The sequence below is a fragment of the Homo sapiens genome, chromosome 20, assembly GCF_000001405.40.
Source record: "Homo sapiens chromosome 20, GRCh38.p14 Primary Assembly".
NCBI lineage: Eukaryota > Metazoa > Chordata > Mammalia > Primates > Hominidae > Homo > Homo sapiens.
Window position 1 is genome coordinate 2,867,123 of NC_000020.11, and position 15,708 is coordinate 2,882,830.

General features: G+C 47.4%; 1 protein-coding gene across 28 annotated transcripts in view, besides 9 other annotated features; it reads left to right on the top strand.

Moving 5' to 3' along the window:
* The window catches only part of PTPRA (protein tyrosine phosphatase receptor type A), a 174,486-nt gene that overhangs the window by 2,939 nt on the left and 155,839 nt on the right, over positions 1–15,708 (top strand). For 27 of the 28 annotated variants that reach the window (NR_170936.1, NM_001388321.1, NM_001385306.1 and 24 more), the window contains exon 1: positions 6,359–6,638. The exons of the other annotated variant lie outside the window; for it this stretch is intronic. The gene's annotated coding sequence lies outside the window, so the exon portion shown is untranslated. Of the gene's footprint in view, positions 1–6,358; positions 6,639–15,708 lie in introns of those variants that run through there. 28 annotated transcript variants of the gene reach the window in all.
* Positions 4,475–5,106: an enhancer, noted in NCBI's record as "H3K4me1 hESC enhancer chr20:2852243-2852874 (GRCh37/hg19 assembly coordinates)". NCBI's record gives its function as "activates a minimal SCP1, AML or CMV promoter by ChIP-STARR-seq in naive H9 embryonic stem cells {active_cell/tissue: H9 hESC(naive)}" and the evidence as "EXISTENCE:reporter gene assay evidence [ECO:0000049][PMID:30033119]".
* Positions 5,107–5,736: an enhancer, noted in NCBI's record as "H3K4me1 hESC enhancer chr20:2852875-2853504 (GRCh37/hg19 assembly coordinates)". NCBI's record gives its function as "activates a minimal SCP1, AML or CMV promoter by ChIP-STARR-seq in naive H9 embryonic stem cells {active_cell/tissue: H9 hESC(naive)}" and the evidence as "EXISTENCE:reporter gene assay evidence [ECO:0000049][PMID:30033119]".
* Positions 5,483–5,622: a silencer, noted in NCBI's record as "silent region_12608". NCBI's record gives its function as "represses an Ori minimal core promoter by ATAC-STARR-seq in GM12878 lymphoblastoid cells {active_cell/tissue: GM12878}" and the evidence as "EXISTENCE:reporter gene assay evidence [ECO:0000049][PMID:35858748]".
* Positions 5,737–6,368: an enhancer, noted in NCBI's record as "H3K27ac-H3K4me1 hESC enhancer chr20:2853505-2854136 (GRCh37/hg19 assembly coordinates)". NCBI's record gives its function as "activates a minimal SCP1, AML or CMV promoter by ChIP-STARR-seq in naive H9 embryonic stem cells {active_cell/tissue: H9 hESC(naive)}" and the evidence as "EXISTENCE:reporter gene assay evidence [ECO:0000049][PMID:30033119]".
* Positions 6,243–6,312: a silencer, noted in NCBI's record as "silent region_12609". NCBI's record gives its function as "represses an Ori minimal core promoter by ATAC-STARR-seq in GM12878 lymphoblastoid cells {active_cell/tissue: GM12878}" and the evidence as "EXISTENCE:reporter gene assay evidence [ECO:0000049][PMID:35858748]".
* Positions 6,369–6,998: an enhancer, noted in NCBI's record as "H3K27ac hESC enhancer chr20:2854137-2854766 (GRCh37/hg19 assembly coordinates)". NCBI's record gives its function as "activates a minimal SCP1, AML or CMV promoter by ChIP-STARR-seq in primed H9 embryonic stem cells {active_cell/tissue: H9 hESC(primed)}" and the evidence as "EXISTENCE:reporter gene assay evidence [ECO:0000049][PMID:30033119]".
* Positions 6,493–6,542: a silencer, noted in NCBI's record as "silent region_12610". NCBI's record gives its function as "represses an Ori minimal core promoter by ATAC-STARR-seq in GM12878 lymphoblastoid cells {active_cell/tissue: GM12878}" and the evidence as "EXISTENCE:reporter gene assay evidence [ECO:0000049][PMID:35858748]".
* Positions 6,553–6,832: a silencer, noted in NCBI's record as "silent region_12611". NCBI's record gives its function as "represses an Ori minimal core promoter by ATAC-STARR-seq in GM12878 lymphoblastoid cells {active_cell/tissue: GM12878}" and the evidence as "EXISTENCE:reporter gene assay evidence [ECO:0000049][PMID:35858748]".
* Positions 14,893–15,062: an enhancer, noted in NCBI's record as "experimental_60029 CRE fragment used in MPRA reporter constructs". NCBI's record gives its function as "activates a minimal promoter by MPRAs in K562 erythroleukemia cells, with activity observed for both the introgressed and non-introgressed 20:2862746 variant alleles {active_cell/tissue: K562}" and the evidence as "EXISTENCE:reporter gene assay evidence [ECO:0000049][PMID:34662402]".

Sequence of the window (15,708 nt, forward strand, 5' to 3'; positions counted from 1 at the left end):
TCGATAATAACAAATATGTGGCAAAACAGGGATTTGAAACCCCGGGCCAAGTGCAAGCTGGAACTGGAATCGGGCCCTCTGTGAGAAGGGAGCCTGAGGCAAGGCCCCAATTTGCACTGCAGTGGTGATTGGAGGACTAATGAGAAGTGTGTGGCCTGCGGGCCATAGGGGTCAGGGGGTGGTGGCCTTTGGAACTCTTGCCCACTGAACTGTGGTGAGCAATTCCAAGTTGTCTCTGGGCCAAATAGAGAAGGAGGATGGAAGATTTCAATTCTGCCAAAAAGAACCATGAACACCAGACCCGCAATCAGTAGGAGTACCCGCGGGGCCCTCTGCTCTCTCTATCTAGCCTTCCGTTGGCACTCCAGTGCACCCCCTCTGCTCTCCCTGTCTAGCCCTCCGTTGGCACTCCAGTGCACCCCCTCTGCTCTCCCTGTCTAGCCCTCCGTTGGCACTCCAGTGCACCCCCTCTGCTCTCCCTATCTAGCCTTCCCTTGGCACTCCAGTGCACCTTGGCTTCATGCCCAGGGCCCCACCCAACACTGAGGGCATTGCCTTTTCCTTTGTCGCCCCCACTTTGTCTACAAGGAGGAAACCACAGCCAGAGGGAGTGCAGGCCTCACTGGAGCTTCAGGCCTCTCCCTATTTAACACCCCTAGGGCCGACCATGCTTTTAGAAAGACAGTGAGAGACTCAGGGCCTGAGAAGGTATTTCTTTTTTTCCTTTTCCTACCTGACTTGTAAATGAAAGTTTGTGAAAGTCCTTCAAGGAGATATAAGTCAAATGGTAAAATAACTATCATGCTCGCCATTCATTATGTGGGTCAAGAATTTGGACAGGTTGTAACAGGGATGGTTTGTGTCTGTTTCATAGTGTCTGAGGCATCAGCTGGAAGACTAAAAGGTTGATAGCTAGGGGCTGAAATCATGTGAAAGCTTGCTAACTCACACACTTGGTGAGTGACGCTGGTTCTTCACTGGGACCTTAGCTGGGGTGGTCTGCCAGAACACCTGCAACATGGTGGCTGGGTCCCAAGGACAAGCATCCCAAGAGGGTGCCAGGTAGAATCTGGACTGCCTTCCTAACCTAGATTTGGAAGTTACGTGGTGTCACATCTGCTAGAGTATTTGTCACAGCAGTAATACAGGCCCACCCCACCAATTTCAAGGGGAAATAGACTCCACCTCTTTTTTTTTTTTTTTTTTTTGCGTGGTAGAGATGGGGTCTCGGGGGTCTCCTTATGTTGCCCAAGCTGGTTTTAAACTCCTGAGCTCAAGCAGTCCTCCCTCCTCAGCATCTCAAAGTGCTGGGGTTACAGCATGAACCACTGAACCTGGCCTGGACTCCACCTCCTGATAGGGAGTAGCAAAGTTCTGGAAATACTGTGGCTAGGTTTTGGAATCACAATCTGGCACAGCCCATCAGCTTTCCCTTTTGGAATCAGCAGACAAGAGGAAAGGAAATAATCCCCAATGCTGGGCTCATCATTCTGGGCTTTTTTTTTTTTTTTTTTTTTTTTTTTTTTGTCCCCAGTCTTGGCCCCACAATTCCTCACTGCCCTGGTAGCTCTTTGATGCCTTTAAAAAATGTTTTCCCAGCTTTTCGAGTTCTCAATGAAAAAGGATTGCTATCAAACAACCCAGTTTTCCTCTCTGGAAAGGGAGGCTTGACCAGTGCTTTTAGAATGTACACAATACAAAACCCACATCTCCAAAGTAACATACAGTATATTTACTCATAGGCTATGTAAACAAACACTGTACATATGAAGTTTTAGAAATATGTGAGAAATAACTTTTAACTGATGACAAATGTATATCAACAGTGATTTCAACTTTATAAAAGGTGTGTGTGCATGTAGAGAAGCATTGGAATTGTCTATGGGGAGAGTTGCTTTAAAAAGGCAGTTTTGTATACTTTTTTGTAAAGTTAATCACTGATTTGCCCCCCACCTCCACAGTTTATTATAAAAACTTTCAAACATACAGCCAGGTAGAAATAATTTTACAGTGAACATTTGTGTAACTACCACTGGATTCTACCATTAGCATCTTACTATATCACACATCTGTTCATCTATCCATTCCTCTATGTCAATCCATCGTATTTTTCATATATTTCAAAGTAAGTTGCAGACATCAGTACACCTCCCCCTAAATACTTCAGTATGCATTTCAATAACTAGAGTTCATTTTTGGTTTGCAATTTTTTTTTTCTTTTCAGGCAAAATCTACATACATTGCAATCCACAGATCTTAAATGTAATTTTCTAAGTTTTGACAGATGTATAAGCCTATGAATTGTGACATTTAAAAACCAGAACTGGGATTTTCTTTTTTCAAATCCTTGCTTACTCAATTGAAATTAGTGTGAGATGCCTTCTGCCCTGAGCAGTTTGTACAGCAGGCCTATGCCTACATGGGTGGGCAGGGCCAAGTTTCGTCCAATGTATGACGCTAGGATTGGGGCTAGGAACTAGGACTGTGTAGCTGGAGGCAAAGAATCTGGGAACATTTCTTCTTGTATCAGTGGTAGCCAGTGCAGGGAGAATCAGGGCAAAGGCTGGGCGCAGTGGCTCATGCCTGTAATTCCAGCACTTTGGGAGGCTTAGGTGGGTGGATCACCTGGGGTCAGGAGTTTGAGACCAGCCTGGCCAACATGGTGAAACCCTGTCTCTAGTAAAAATACAAAAAAATTAGCTGGGGGTGGTGGCGGGTCCTGTAATCCCAGCTACTTGGGAGGCTGAGGCAGGAGAATCGCTTGATTGCTTGAACCCAGGAGGTGGAGGTTGCAGTGAGCTGAAATGGCGCCATTGCACTCCAGCCTGGGCAATGAGTGAAACTCTGTCTTAAAAATATATATATATATATCGAGCAAAGGCTCCTACAACTCACCTTCTCAGGGTAAGGGGCTGTATGTCCAGTCTCTTAGATACAAAGTTCCAGTGAAAGACTCTTGGGGTTGGCCAGGCGCAGTGGTTCACCCCTGTAATCCCAGCATTTTGGGAGGCTGAGGCAGGCAGATCGCCTGAGGTCAGGAGTTCAAGACCAGCCTGGCCAACATGGTGAAACCCTGTCTCTACTAAAAATACAAAATTAGCCAGGCGTGGTGGCGCATGCCTGTAATCCCAGCTACTCGGGAGGCTGAGGCAGGAGAATCGCTTGAACCCGGGAGGCAGAGGTTGCAGTGAGCCGAGATCGTGCCATTGCACTCAAGCCTGGGCAACAAGAGCAAAAACTCCGTCTCAAAAAAAAGAAAAAAAAAACTCGGGTTTGAACAGTGTGGCCTGCAAAGGGACTTGGCTCTCATTTACTTCACCTTTCTATCTTATTGCCTTGCTTTATTTTCATTTCAGCATTTAGGAAATTTTCTTGTTCTTTTGTTTATTGTCTGTGTTCCTATCCAGAATGTAAGCTCCTGAGAGCAGAGGCCTCTTCTGTCCTCTTCTGTCTTATTCCCTGCTGTGTCCAGCACATGGTCTGCACTCAATAAGTATTTGTTGCGAGAATGACTCATTGTTCCATTTACTAGAAGGGGAAAGGAGGCCCCGAGAGGGGAAATGACTTGCCTAAAGAAACAGGAGTCCTTTCCCCCCATCCTCCAGCTCTCCTGATCCTCTCCTTTGCTCATAAACCCTGTGACTGTTGGGGCACCTGTGGGGTGGCTGCGAAATGCCTACCTGTAGGTATGTGCTCCTGTGGGTTGGGACTAATGCAGGACTAGGAGTAGGAGGGCTCTGCAGTCCCCCATTTGGGTAGGCTTGGGCACAGGAAACTGCCTCCTTTCCCTTCCTCAGTTCTCTTCTCTTCCAGGATAACCCTTTACTCTGTGATGATGATGGGCGAGGGAGCTCAGGACACTCTGGGAGCCAAGTAGGATGGAGGGCTGGGCAGGTCTCTACAGGCAGGCAGCTGAGGAGGGGGCTCTGTCTTCTTCCAATGGAAACAGCATCTGTGTGGTTGCTGAGCTGAACCCTCCTTCCCAGGGTCTCCAGGGTCTGTAGTTCTCCTTGGTCTGTAGTTCTGTCACCCCTGTGCACACCCCACAAATGCTTTGACCATAGTGCAGCTGTCTCATGGGGAGAGAAAGAACTTTCATTTCCTGAGAATGGGTTACTTGCCAAGCTGAACATGCCTAATTCTCAATACAGCCCTGGGAAGTTCCAGGAAGAGTTGCAGAGGGAGGCTCAGGTCACCCAGCACATGGTGGGGCTGGAAACCCCGGGCTCTTTGACTACCACGCCCAACAACAATTTTTCCAAGTGTGGTCATATCCAAAAGGGGTCCTTCAGATAATCTCAAAGATGAACACTTACTGCAATCACTATTTCAGTTATATTAAAAATATAAGTAGCATGTCAACCCCTTCTAGGGTAATACAAATAAAAAGTAAAAAAAAACTAATCAACAAAAAGAAACATATTAAGAAATAATAGTGTAAATTAGATATAAGGCAAAAGTAAGCTGGTGGGGTTTGGTTCTAGAGCATAGGGCTGCTATCCCAGCTACTGAGGTACCTCCTGCGTTTGCAGTCATTACTTGTTAGGGGTTTTCACACTTTGACTTCCTGCTTTTCACTTTTCCATTCGGTGTTGCGGGATAGATTGAGTTTGGACTTAAGGGGATATGTGAATGTTGGGCGTGGGGAAGGATCCACCCTCACTGGGGTCTGAGCGTTAGGAGAGTAGGCGTGTGGACTCTGGGCCTTTGGGCTGGAGTGTCTATTGGTCAGAGGTGTCGGGTTCGGCCATTTCACCCTCACCTCTAGGCTGGCCCTGCTGAGAGGGAGAGAGAGTCACAACTCCCACTCAAGGAGAGACTTCCCTGCTGGGGAGGGGACGGCCTGAGGCCCGCCCCACCCATATTCCCAGGCCCTGGCTCTGGTTAGCATGGACTAACTTATTCCACAATACGGAGGAGTGGGGCACAGAGTCCCTAACTGGCGCCCCAACAGAAGGCGGTGGTGGGGACCGGAGATGGTAGGACTGGAGATGGTAGGGGCTGCTGATGTGAGCCCACAATACGGAGGAGTGGGGCACAGAGTCCCTAACTGGCGCCCCAACAGAAGGCGGTGGTGGGGACCGGAGATGGTAGGACTGGAGATGGTGGGGGCTGCTGGGAGCCCCTTTTGCGCCGCAGTGTTTCCTGCCATGAAGAGTTGCCGCCGGTCACAACCCTTCCCCGGGGGCGCCCCGAATGTGGGACTCCTTCCGGCCTGGGGTGCGTGAGGGGGACTCAGGGGTTGCCCGGTCTGGAGGAGAGACTCGCCGCCACCTACCCCGGGAACCGCAGACTCTGGGTCTGGGATAAAGCGTCCCCTACCCGCAAGCTCGGTTTGTGCGCTACTGTGCAATCTGTCTTTTGCCTGCAGACGCCCAGCCGCTCGCCCTGCGCGGGTCTCGGAATGTCCAGGGGTCCCTACTGGGGATCACAACCCGGCGAAATGTCGCATTTGCCACCACCTATCTCGACTGCGTAATCGGCTTTCAGCCGCAGACGCTCAGGTCCTGCAGCACCCGCGGGGATCCGTGTAGGAACCTGCTGCCGCTGGATGGACTGAGCGATTGCTTCGCGGGTGTCACGCACCAGACGCCGTGCCGGGAGCGCCGGGAAGGGGGTACGCGCCCCAACCCCGGCCGGGGGAGGGCGCACTCTGGCTCCTCTCTGCGTTTTGAGCCTCCCCTCCCCCGCCAGGCGTATCGCAAAAGGCACCTCCATCGCAGAGCACCATGTGTTGTGCTTCTACTCAGCTCGGTGGCGAGCGGGGCCCCAGCATGCGCATCTGGAAAGCGGGGGAGATTACCCTGGAGCTCGGGTGGGGACGGCGTGGGCTGACTTGATATAAGACGACACCCACGGAGCCAGATCCGTTCTAGGGACTTGGCAGGTTCCTCTCCCTCCCCAGTGAGATCCGTCGTTCTTTGCAGCAATTAGGGGAGGGAAAAAAAAGACCCACAGTATCACGTTTGGAGAGGGTTAGGAAGATGGCTCTCGAGTTGCAGGCCGCCCTGGTGGCTAGACATTGGTGTAGTTTGTGCCTGGCCTCGGTTTCCTGATCTGTAAACTGGGAAGAAGGCCCAAGTCATGAGGCCTGTGACTGTAGAATGGCTGAAGGCACTGGTGCACTCGCAGCCGGTCCTTCCGGGGTCCAGCTTCCCGAAGGACTGGGCAGCCCCGGGGCGAACCCCTCTGGAGCTACCAGGAGAACGTGCGACCGGGTTCGGCGCCCCAGCCGGCAAGTGAGCGCCCAGCGGAGCGCAAGGGCGGGGCCCGCGCGGGCCGGAGACGCCCGTTCGCTGTCGGCCAACCAGCGCCTGTCTCTGAACAGCCAATGAACACGCGTCTTACAGCCAAGGCCGGGTCGGGAGCGAGGCTGCGGCGAGTGCGGCGCTGACAGAGACGCGCGCGCGCGCGATCGCGCTCGGACCCCGGCCGCTGCCGCCATCACTGTCGCCCGCCCAGTCGCCCCTCAGCCGCTTCCCCTCGCCATGGAGGCGAGGCCGCCGCCGCCGCCGCGGGGCTCGGAGCCGCGGGCCGGGCGGCGGCCCTGAGGGCTAGTGGCGGCCCGAAACGCCGCCGCGGAGCCGAGGCGGAGCCGCTGTCCTCGTCCCCAGCGGTCCCGCCCAACGCCCGACTCTGTGAGTGTTCGCGGCCGCTGCGCCCGGGTGGGCTCCGGAAGGGGGAGCGGCTCCCGGGGGCGGTGGGAGGGGTCCCGGGCCACAGCCCAGAGCCCGGAGCCCGAAGCCCTAAGCCATCTTTTCCGGGTAGAAGCCTGCGGGCGCCTGCAGGTTGATTGTGCATCCTTGCGGGTCCGTCGCGGGGAGGGGGTCCCCGGAAACGTGCCGGCCCGAGTGCCGACCCCTCGCGACTGCCCAGGAACTTTGCATGCGTCCTTCTGGGACCAGGCCAGGGCACTGCCAGAGTTGATTCTCAGAGAAGAAACTTAGAACGGCGAGAACAGAATTTGCTCAGGTCCATTTAATGGGAGGAAAGAGGAAAACTCTTGGCATGAGAAAATTTGCTTTTGCAGTGACCAACTTTTCTTTCCCTTCAAGTCCACCTCCCTCGGTCCCCCGGCCCGTCTCCCAGGCCCCTCTCCTTGCCGCCCTCTCCCAACTGTTGAGGCTGTTTAAGAAGGGAAATAAGGGCTGAGAGCTGCCCAGAATTCAGAATAGGCCAATTGAGAACGCAGGTCCCCTCCCTTTTTACTTTCGGTAAATAAAAAATTTTTTTTGAAAAAATTAGTTACTAATTATATCTCCTGAAGATTAAAAAAAAAAAATAGCAGAGCAGAGTCCTGTCTTGAGGGTTTCGTTTTTATTTTTGAGATCACTGATGATATTTGTAAGACAGGAAAAGAAGAATGTGCAAATCCACCCTCTGCAGGGTGAACGCCATCAGAAGCCTTTGCTCAGGAGAGGGATTCCGGCTCTAGAACCAGTCCACATCACCCTGGAGATGGCTTCGTTTGCCACCTGCTAGCTGTGCAGGCAGCCTGAGAAACAGAAGATGGTGGGCGAGAGGAGGACTGACTAGGAAAGGGCGAACATCTTCCTGCCTGGCCACTCCTTTCAGAAACAGATCTGATGCTGTCACTTGTTTACTTAAAAACTCCCTCGCTTTTCTTTTTCCCATGGGATGAATGAAGCCTAAAATGCCTTATCAGGTCATACAAAGCCCTTGACAATCTTGCCTCAATTTACTCCTTTACTTTTAGCCTAATCGGATCCTCCAATTCTCCTTCCCCTCATCCCGCTTGCTGGCTAGTATTCAGAGCTGCTTGACTGCCCCCTCACATGTTGGGATGTTTTTGTTTTATGTGATCCTCTTTCTTCCCCACCTTTACCTGCCAAGCTCCACTTTTTCTTTTAAAGTTCTTCTCATTTGAGAAGCTTCTTGCGGGCAGGAGCTGTGTCTTGCCCACCTTTCTATCTCCCGTGGTGGGAGAATCCTCCAAGTTGTCTTGTAGATTCTTTCCAATCTCTTCTCTCTTATGCCTAGGCTCTGTTTATTTCCCGGTATCCACTTCCCAAGAGATTTTTTCGTGTTTTGAAGGCCTGCTTGGAGTACATGCCCAGGACTTTTAGTATTTCTGATTCCCGGCTTCCCCATGTCCATCCCACCCAGCCCCCATAAGCAGTCAGCAGGTGGGAACTGGTAGGTCCCATATCCCACTGGCCTCCAAAAAACTGTCTCTGAAAGACTAAAAGCCCTTCAGTCTCTTTTCACCTCTGCCTGCTCAAAGTGACCTGGCTGATACCGTGCATTGTAAGGCATGGTGGGATCCCGGGGCCTGTTCTCTGTTTAGCCACTTAACATCTGGGTGAAATACAGAACCAGAAAAACCACCCCTCTGACTTCAGTACATTCATGTGTCTTCCCTTTGCCAGGTGAATTGCTTGGGATACAAAAGTGAGGAAGTCAGTCCTTAACCTTTGAGGAACTCAGAGTCTAATGTAGGACAGGTGGATATAAATACATCACAGGTGCTATAAGATTGTGATAATAATAATAGCTATTTTTTATTTGCCTTGTGACAAGCTATGTAATGTTTTCCATGAATTCCCTCAGTCTTTTCAACAGTCATAAAAGGGCTTATTCCTACTCTACAGGGTTGGAAACTGAGGCCAAACAGTGGGCAAATGAGGGAATAGTCAAGATTTGAATTTTGGCCGTGTATTTGCAGAGCCTCTGCCAGGCTGTGTAGGGAGCATCCCCTGCCTGGGTGATTTGGGAAAGCTTTCCTGGGACGGGGGGGCCTTCGGATCATGAAGGATGCATAGGAGTTTGCGCGTGGTGGACTGCACACATAGGCAAGAGGGAGCAGCACAAGCAAACTTGGTGGTGGAAGGAATCCACTGTCCTTGGGGAGGAGGGAAGAGGTTAATCATAGCTGGATCAGGTAAGGACAATGGAGAGCTACTAGAGGATTTAAAGGAGGTCAGGGACTTGGGCTGAAAGAATTTTGGAAAGATCATTTGGGGGCAATATAGGGCCAAATGCAGATGCCCCTGCAATATAGGAGGCACTGGTTGGGTCTGACAGAGGTAGAGTCACAGCCTCTTAGACCCAGAGGAAGGTGTAGAGAGAATCCTGCTCAATTTTGGGAAAAGATAATTAATGCAGATGAGAGAAAAATTCAAAAGTTCTAGCAATACAAAAGAGTATATAGAGAAAAATGTCCCTCCTACCCTGGCCCCAAGTCTCCTGTCTCCCTAACCTCCTCCCCAGAGATGGCTGAAGTTTTCAGTTTATATGGCCTTCCATAGACACTGTTGCTTTATAAATATGTGCCTGCTTATCCATACTCCTCCCACCATGGGACGTACCACTCACACCTTACTGGGTTTTTTTACTTAACATATTTAGGAAATCATTCTATTATCAACATATATAGAGAGTTATTTGTTCTTTCTGTTGACATGCTTTTACTTATTTAGTTGTATGGCTGTACTGTAACATCTTTGGGTTAAATATTTGTTTCCAGGTTCTTCTCTTACAGCAATGAATGTCCTTGTACATACTGTGTTATGTGCTCATTTGCAAAGTTATCTGAACAATATGCTTTTAGAAGTAGAATTACTGGGTCAAGGGATATGTCTGCATTTTTGATTTGCAGACATGGAGCCAAACTGCCACCCGTTTCTGGGGGGTTGTACCAATTTATCCTCTCCCCCAAAGTGTATAGCTGGATAGATGATCTTTGGAGAATTCAGGAGGATCAACTACGATGCTTTTTCAGCTATTATATGCCTACTTTTCCTCCACAAATCCTCCCCCACCCTATGCGATTCTAGCCAGTTTCTTTGAATTTACAGAGGGAGATGTTGAGGCTCAGAAGGATAAAAGTAACTTGTGCAGGATGATCAGTGCGGGTGGTGGTGGGTGTTTTGTTTTGTATTTTTGCACCCCTCATGTTTGTATTTGCCAGCACCTTTCATTGGAGGTGCTCAGTGTCAGTTTGTAAACATTATTGCATTATTTTTCTCCATTTTCACATGGAAAAAAATGAGATGCAGGGGAAGTTTGAGTTATGAGAGGGAAACTGGCCAAATATAGAATCTTGTCATTTTACTTCCAGTGCAATAATAAATGTTTCCAAATGACAAAGCTGAAGAGATGTTTTTTGTTTGTTTGTTTGTTTGTTTGTTTTTTGAGATGGAGTTTTGCTCTTGTTGCCCAGGCTGGAATGCAATGGCGCTATCTTGGCTCACGCAACTTTTGCCTCCTGGGTTCAAGCGATTCTCCTGCCTCAGCCTCCCGAGTAGCTGGGATTACAGGCATGTGTCACTGTACCTGGCTAATTTTGTATTTTTAGTAAAGACGGGGTTTCTCCATGTTGGTAAGGCTGGTCTTGAACTCCTGACCTCAGGTGATCCGCTGGTCTTGGCCTCCCAAAGTCCTGGGATTACAAGCATGAGCCACCGTGCCCGGTGAAGAAATGGTTTTTTAGTGAGTCTGAGTACAACAAAAATAGCAATAATATAACACTAACTTAATAAAACTGAACAGCAGGCCCAAAAATAGCCCAACATTAAAATTTATTTTAATGTATTCTCTATGGAAAAGAGAATCCATTAAATGTAAAACTATTTATTTTACTCTAAATTCACATCCATTTGTGTCAGTGTACAAGACATAATTTTTATAGTAGCAGTCAGTACATATAGAATATGATTTTTGAATTCTTCAATAGCATAAAATATTTTATATTTACTCATTTAAGTATTTGTTCATTTAAAATCACAGGCTGGGTGCGGTGGCTCACGCCTGTAATCCCAGCACTTTGGGAGGCTGAGGCAGGTGGATCATGAGGTCAAGAGATCAAGACCATCCTGGCCAACATGGTGAAACCCCATCTCTACTAAAAATACAAAAATTAGCTGGGTGTGGTGGCGCGTGCCTGTAATCCCAGCTACTCGGGAGGCTGAGGCATGAGAATCACTTGAACCCAGGAGGCGGAAGTTGCAGTGAGCCAAGATCTTGCCACTGTACTCCAGCCTGGCGACAGAGCGAGACTCCGTCTCAAAAAAAAGAAAAAAAAAATCACAGTATAGTATTCCATGCATCGACAGCTGTAGTTTTTTTTAAATTTGTTTTTGTTTTTTTGAGACAGGGTCTCACTCTGCCACCCTGGCTGGAGTGCAGTGGCATGATCACAGCTCACTGCAGCCTTGACCTCCTGGGCTAAATGATCTTCCCATCTCAGCCACCTGAATAGCTGGGACTGCACAGGTCTGTGCCACCACGACCAGCTAATTTTTTTATTTTTTGTAGAGACATTTTTATGTTGCCCAGGCTAGTCTTGAACTCCTGGACTCAAGTGATCCACCCGCCTTGGCCTCCCAAAGTGCTGGGATTACAGGTGTGAGCCACCACTCTCAGCCAACAGCTGTAGTTGGTGCAATCCTTTTTATTCTTTTATTTTTTTCTACCTTTTTGCTATTATAAATGGTACTTTTATACCCCTTGTTCAAATACTTCTTTTGGATTATTTCCTTGGACTCTTACTCCCAACCTGGGCTCACCAAGTCAGAGGATACAGTTTCGGTGCCTAATTGCAATCTGGAAAGGTTGAACTAGTTTCCAGCACTATCAGCAATTTATGGGGCCATTTCTTGACAACCCATCTAGTGCTATTACAAAGAAATGTAATGATACCTTGAATTAGGTTTAATTTACATTGCTTTGGAAAAAGAGACCAGTAGCTGATTTAGATTTTTTGAAAGAAGTACAGTGCTGTGATATAGATTATCTCCAAGATTTATGTAACTGAAGCCAACTTGTGGTTGAAGAAAGATTTGGTTGATGAGATTGAAATATTGTGGAAGTTTAGAATAGGATCATAGCAGTATAAAATATAAGGCTAGATGCTGTTCAGTTGGAAATACCAGGCATTGTGCCGGAAGCTGGGGACACCCCAGAGTAACATAGATGTGATGTCTGTCCTCATGACACTTTTAGGTTAGTGCAGTAGACAGACATTAAAATCACCTATGGTAATTATAGATGTGATGAAAGGGGAAGAATAGGGTGTCGGGAGTGTCAGAGAAGTTCAGCAGCTAAACAACATTTGCAGTTAAACATTTGTGAAGGCCCTGAGCTGAGAAGGGATTTGGTAGCTCAGGGCAGCGCTTCGCTAACTTGAATGTGCTCATGAACCATCTGGGAATCTTGTTAAAATGCCAAGTCCTGAATCAGTAGGTTTGGGGTGGGACTTGGGATTCTGTGTTACTAACCAGCTCCTGGGTGAGGCAGATGCTGCTGGTGGGTGGATCACACTTGGTGTAGCAAGGCCTAATTGAGAGCTTGGTGAGCACCTAAAACTGGCTGACCATGGTGAGCAGGAAGGGGCAGGTGGCTTGCAGTGACAGAGTAATTCTCTGCCTAGGCTGCACTTTAGATTCACCTGGGGAACTTAGAAAAATCAGGGTTGCAAATGCCCCACCCGCAGCCATTTTAATTTAATTGGTCTCAGTTGGGGCCTGAGAATGTGTATACAGTCATGCACAGTATAACGATGTTTCCATCAAGGAGAGACTGCATATGCCACAGTGGTCCCATAAGATTATAATCCATAATTTTACTATACCTTTTCTATTTTTAGATATGTTTAAATACACAAATACTCACTGTGTTAGTTACTTACAGTATTCAGTACAGTAACATGCTGTACAGGTTTGTAGCCTAGGAGCAGTAGGCTATACAATATAGCCTAGATACGTAGCAAGCTGTACCATCTCATTTTGTGTAAGTACCTTTTATGATGTTTGCAGAATTATGAAATCACATCAGGACTCATCCTCAGAATGTGTTCCATTGTTAAGTGATGCATACCTGTATATATATTTTAACTCCCCAGGTGATTCTAATGTGTAGCCAGGCTTGAGAACTAGAGACTAAGGACAGTGTTGAGACTAGAGAATGGCAAGGAGCAGAGTTGAGGGTCCTGTATGGCATGCAAGGATTTTGGACTCTATCCTGAAGGCAGAGCTAAATCTTTGAAGGATTTTTAAGCAGGAGAGTGAACTGATCTGATTTGCAATTGTTAAAAAGTTCACTGTGGCTGTAGTCCAGAGCAGTAGTTTTCAAATTGAGGTAGATAAGATGATCCAGGGGAACTGGAAGAAAATTTAGAACTTTTTATTGTTTTTATCTAAAAGATAAGATAAAACATTTAATTTAGGAATTGTCTCTGGCATCTTCTTGGGTCTATAGGTCAAACAGTTAATGTGTTAACTGTAGAACTTTGGGTGTCCTGAAGGAAGAGACTGAATTCTGCAGTGAGCAGAGACATATTTATACATTTGTTCTCCATGTATTGCAACATGTTGTTAACAGTTTATATTAACCAGTTCTCATTGAACTAGCCTTTACAAAATGGACATGCAGAGAAACCAGTGATCAAAGAAAATACTAATAATACAAGCACAAGCAAACAAGTTGTCAGAGCTGACACTTGTCCAACTCCTGTGATGAATTCTTGGTGAGCTATTCAAATAAGTCAGCTCTTACTAAATTGGAAAGTATCAGGAAATTTATAAGAAACATGAACTTTCGTGCTCTGTCATTAATAGGAATCTTGCTTTAAGATTCCTTTTAATCGTATGTAGAACCCAGCTGCACGGTGGCTCACACCCATAATCCCACTGTTTTGGGAGCCTGAGGTGCAGGAGGCCAGGAGCTCAAGACAAACCTGGGCAACATAGCGAGACCCCATCTCTACCAAAAATAAAAAATTAGCCGTGTGGTGTCACGTGCCTGTAGTCCCACTTACTTGGGAGGCTGAGGCAGAGGATTGCTTGAACCCAGGAGTTCAAGGCTGCATTGAGCCATGATTGCACCACTGTACTCCAGCCTGGGGGACAGAGGGAGACTCTGTGTCTCAAAAAAAAAAAGAGGAGGACCGGGCATAGTGGGTCACACCTGTAATCCCAGCACTTTGGGAGGTCAGGGTGGGTGGATCACAAGGTCAAGAGATCGAGACCATCCTGGCCAACACAGTGAAACCCCATCTCTACTAAAAATACAAGAATTCGCCGGGCGTGGTGGCGTGTGCCTCTGGGTAATTTCAGCTACTCGGGAGGCTGAGGCAGGAGAATCCTCTGAGCCCAGGAGGCGGAGTTTGCAGTGAGCCGAGATCTCGCCACTGCACTCAAGCCTGGGTGACAGAGCAAGACTCTGTCTCCAAAAAAAAAAAAGTATGTAAAACCTTGAGATATTAAATAATAAAATATGAGGCTGTCACCAGTATGAAGACATTTGAAAACCAAAAATTTGGAACATAAAAAGAACCTCTACATTTTTTTTGCAGTGATGTTTAAAGATAAAGGATATTCCATCAGATGCTTTACAAAATTTTGCTAACTTCAATTATTAAAATTTATATTTTGAGGGTTTTTTGCTTTTAAGAGACAGGGTCTCACTCTGTTGCCCAGGCTGGAGTACAGTGGCACAATGATAGCTCACTGCAGCATTGAACTCCTGGGCTCAAGCGATCTTCCCACCTTGGCCTTCCAAAGCTCTGGGACTACACATGTGAACCACCATGCCTGGCCAGTTTTTAAGTTTATTGTTCTTATAAAAGACAAAATGGGGCCGGGTGCAGTGGCTCATGCATGTAATCCCAGCACTTTGGGAGGCCGAAGTGGACGGATCACTTGAGGTCAGGAGTTTGAAACCAGCCTGGCCAACATGGCAAAACCCTGTCTCTACTAAAAACACAGAAATTAGCCAGGTATGGTGGGCACACCTGTAGTCCCAGCTACTCGGGAGGCTGAGGCAGGAGAATCGCTTGAACCTGGGAGGCGGAGATTGCAGTGAGCTGAGGTTGCGCCGCTGTACTCCAGCCTGGGAGACAGAGCGAGACTGTTTCAGGGGAAAAAAAGAAAAAAGACAAAAAAACACATACCCTTGGCAGATTCTTCCTGCCCCACCCCCAAAAGGCCCACTTAAACAAAAAATGGACTGATGTACTACATGGAAAATAATTTTGTCAGGAAATCAAAATACTGTTGGAAGATGTATAGAAAACATTGCTGAATATGTGAACAAACAATATTAGAACAAATTTTGCAGTGTGGGAAGTTTGGTATACGGTTATAAAAGTACAGAAGCTTCTAGCATGTCTCAGTATCGCTAGATACTCTTTTTTTTCTTTTCTTTCTTTCTTTCTTTTTTTTTTTTTGAGACAGTTTTGTTCTGTCACCCAGGCTGGAGTGCAGTGGCACCATCATGGTTCACTGCAGCATTGACCTCCCAGTCTCAAGTGATCATCCTACCTCAGCCTCTCAAGTAGCCAGGACCACAGGCATGCACCACCATACCTATTTTTTTTATTTTTTATTTTTAGGAGAGATGAGGTCTCACTATGTTTCCCAGGCTGGCCTTGAACTCCTGGCTCAAGCAATCCACCTGCCAAAAGACCTTCCAAAGTGCTGGGATTACAGGCATGAGCCACCGTGCCAACTGTGCCAGGCCTAGATTACCTTTTAATAGTTACATCCAAGAATAAGGACCACTTCTTTTGTGAGCTACTGGAAGAAAGTTGTACTGGAGAAGACATATTTTTAATAGTAAATGATTGCCTTCATAAGAACATTACTATATGGAATAATAGACTGAATGTAAATTAATGGAACAGCTGCTTTGACTGAACAAAAGAATGAAATTCATTCATTACTTCTCTATGGGCAGGCTGTTGAGTCC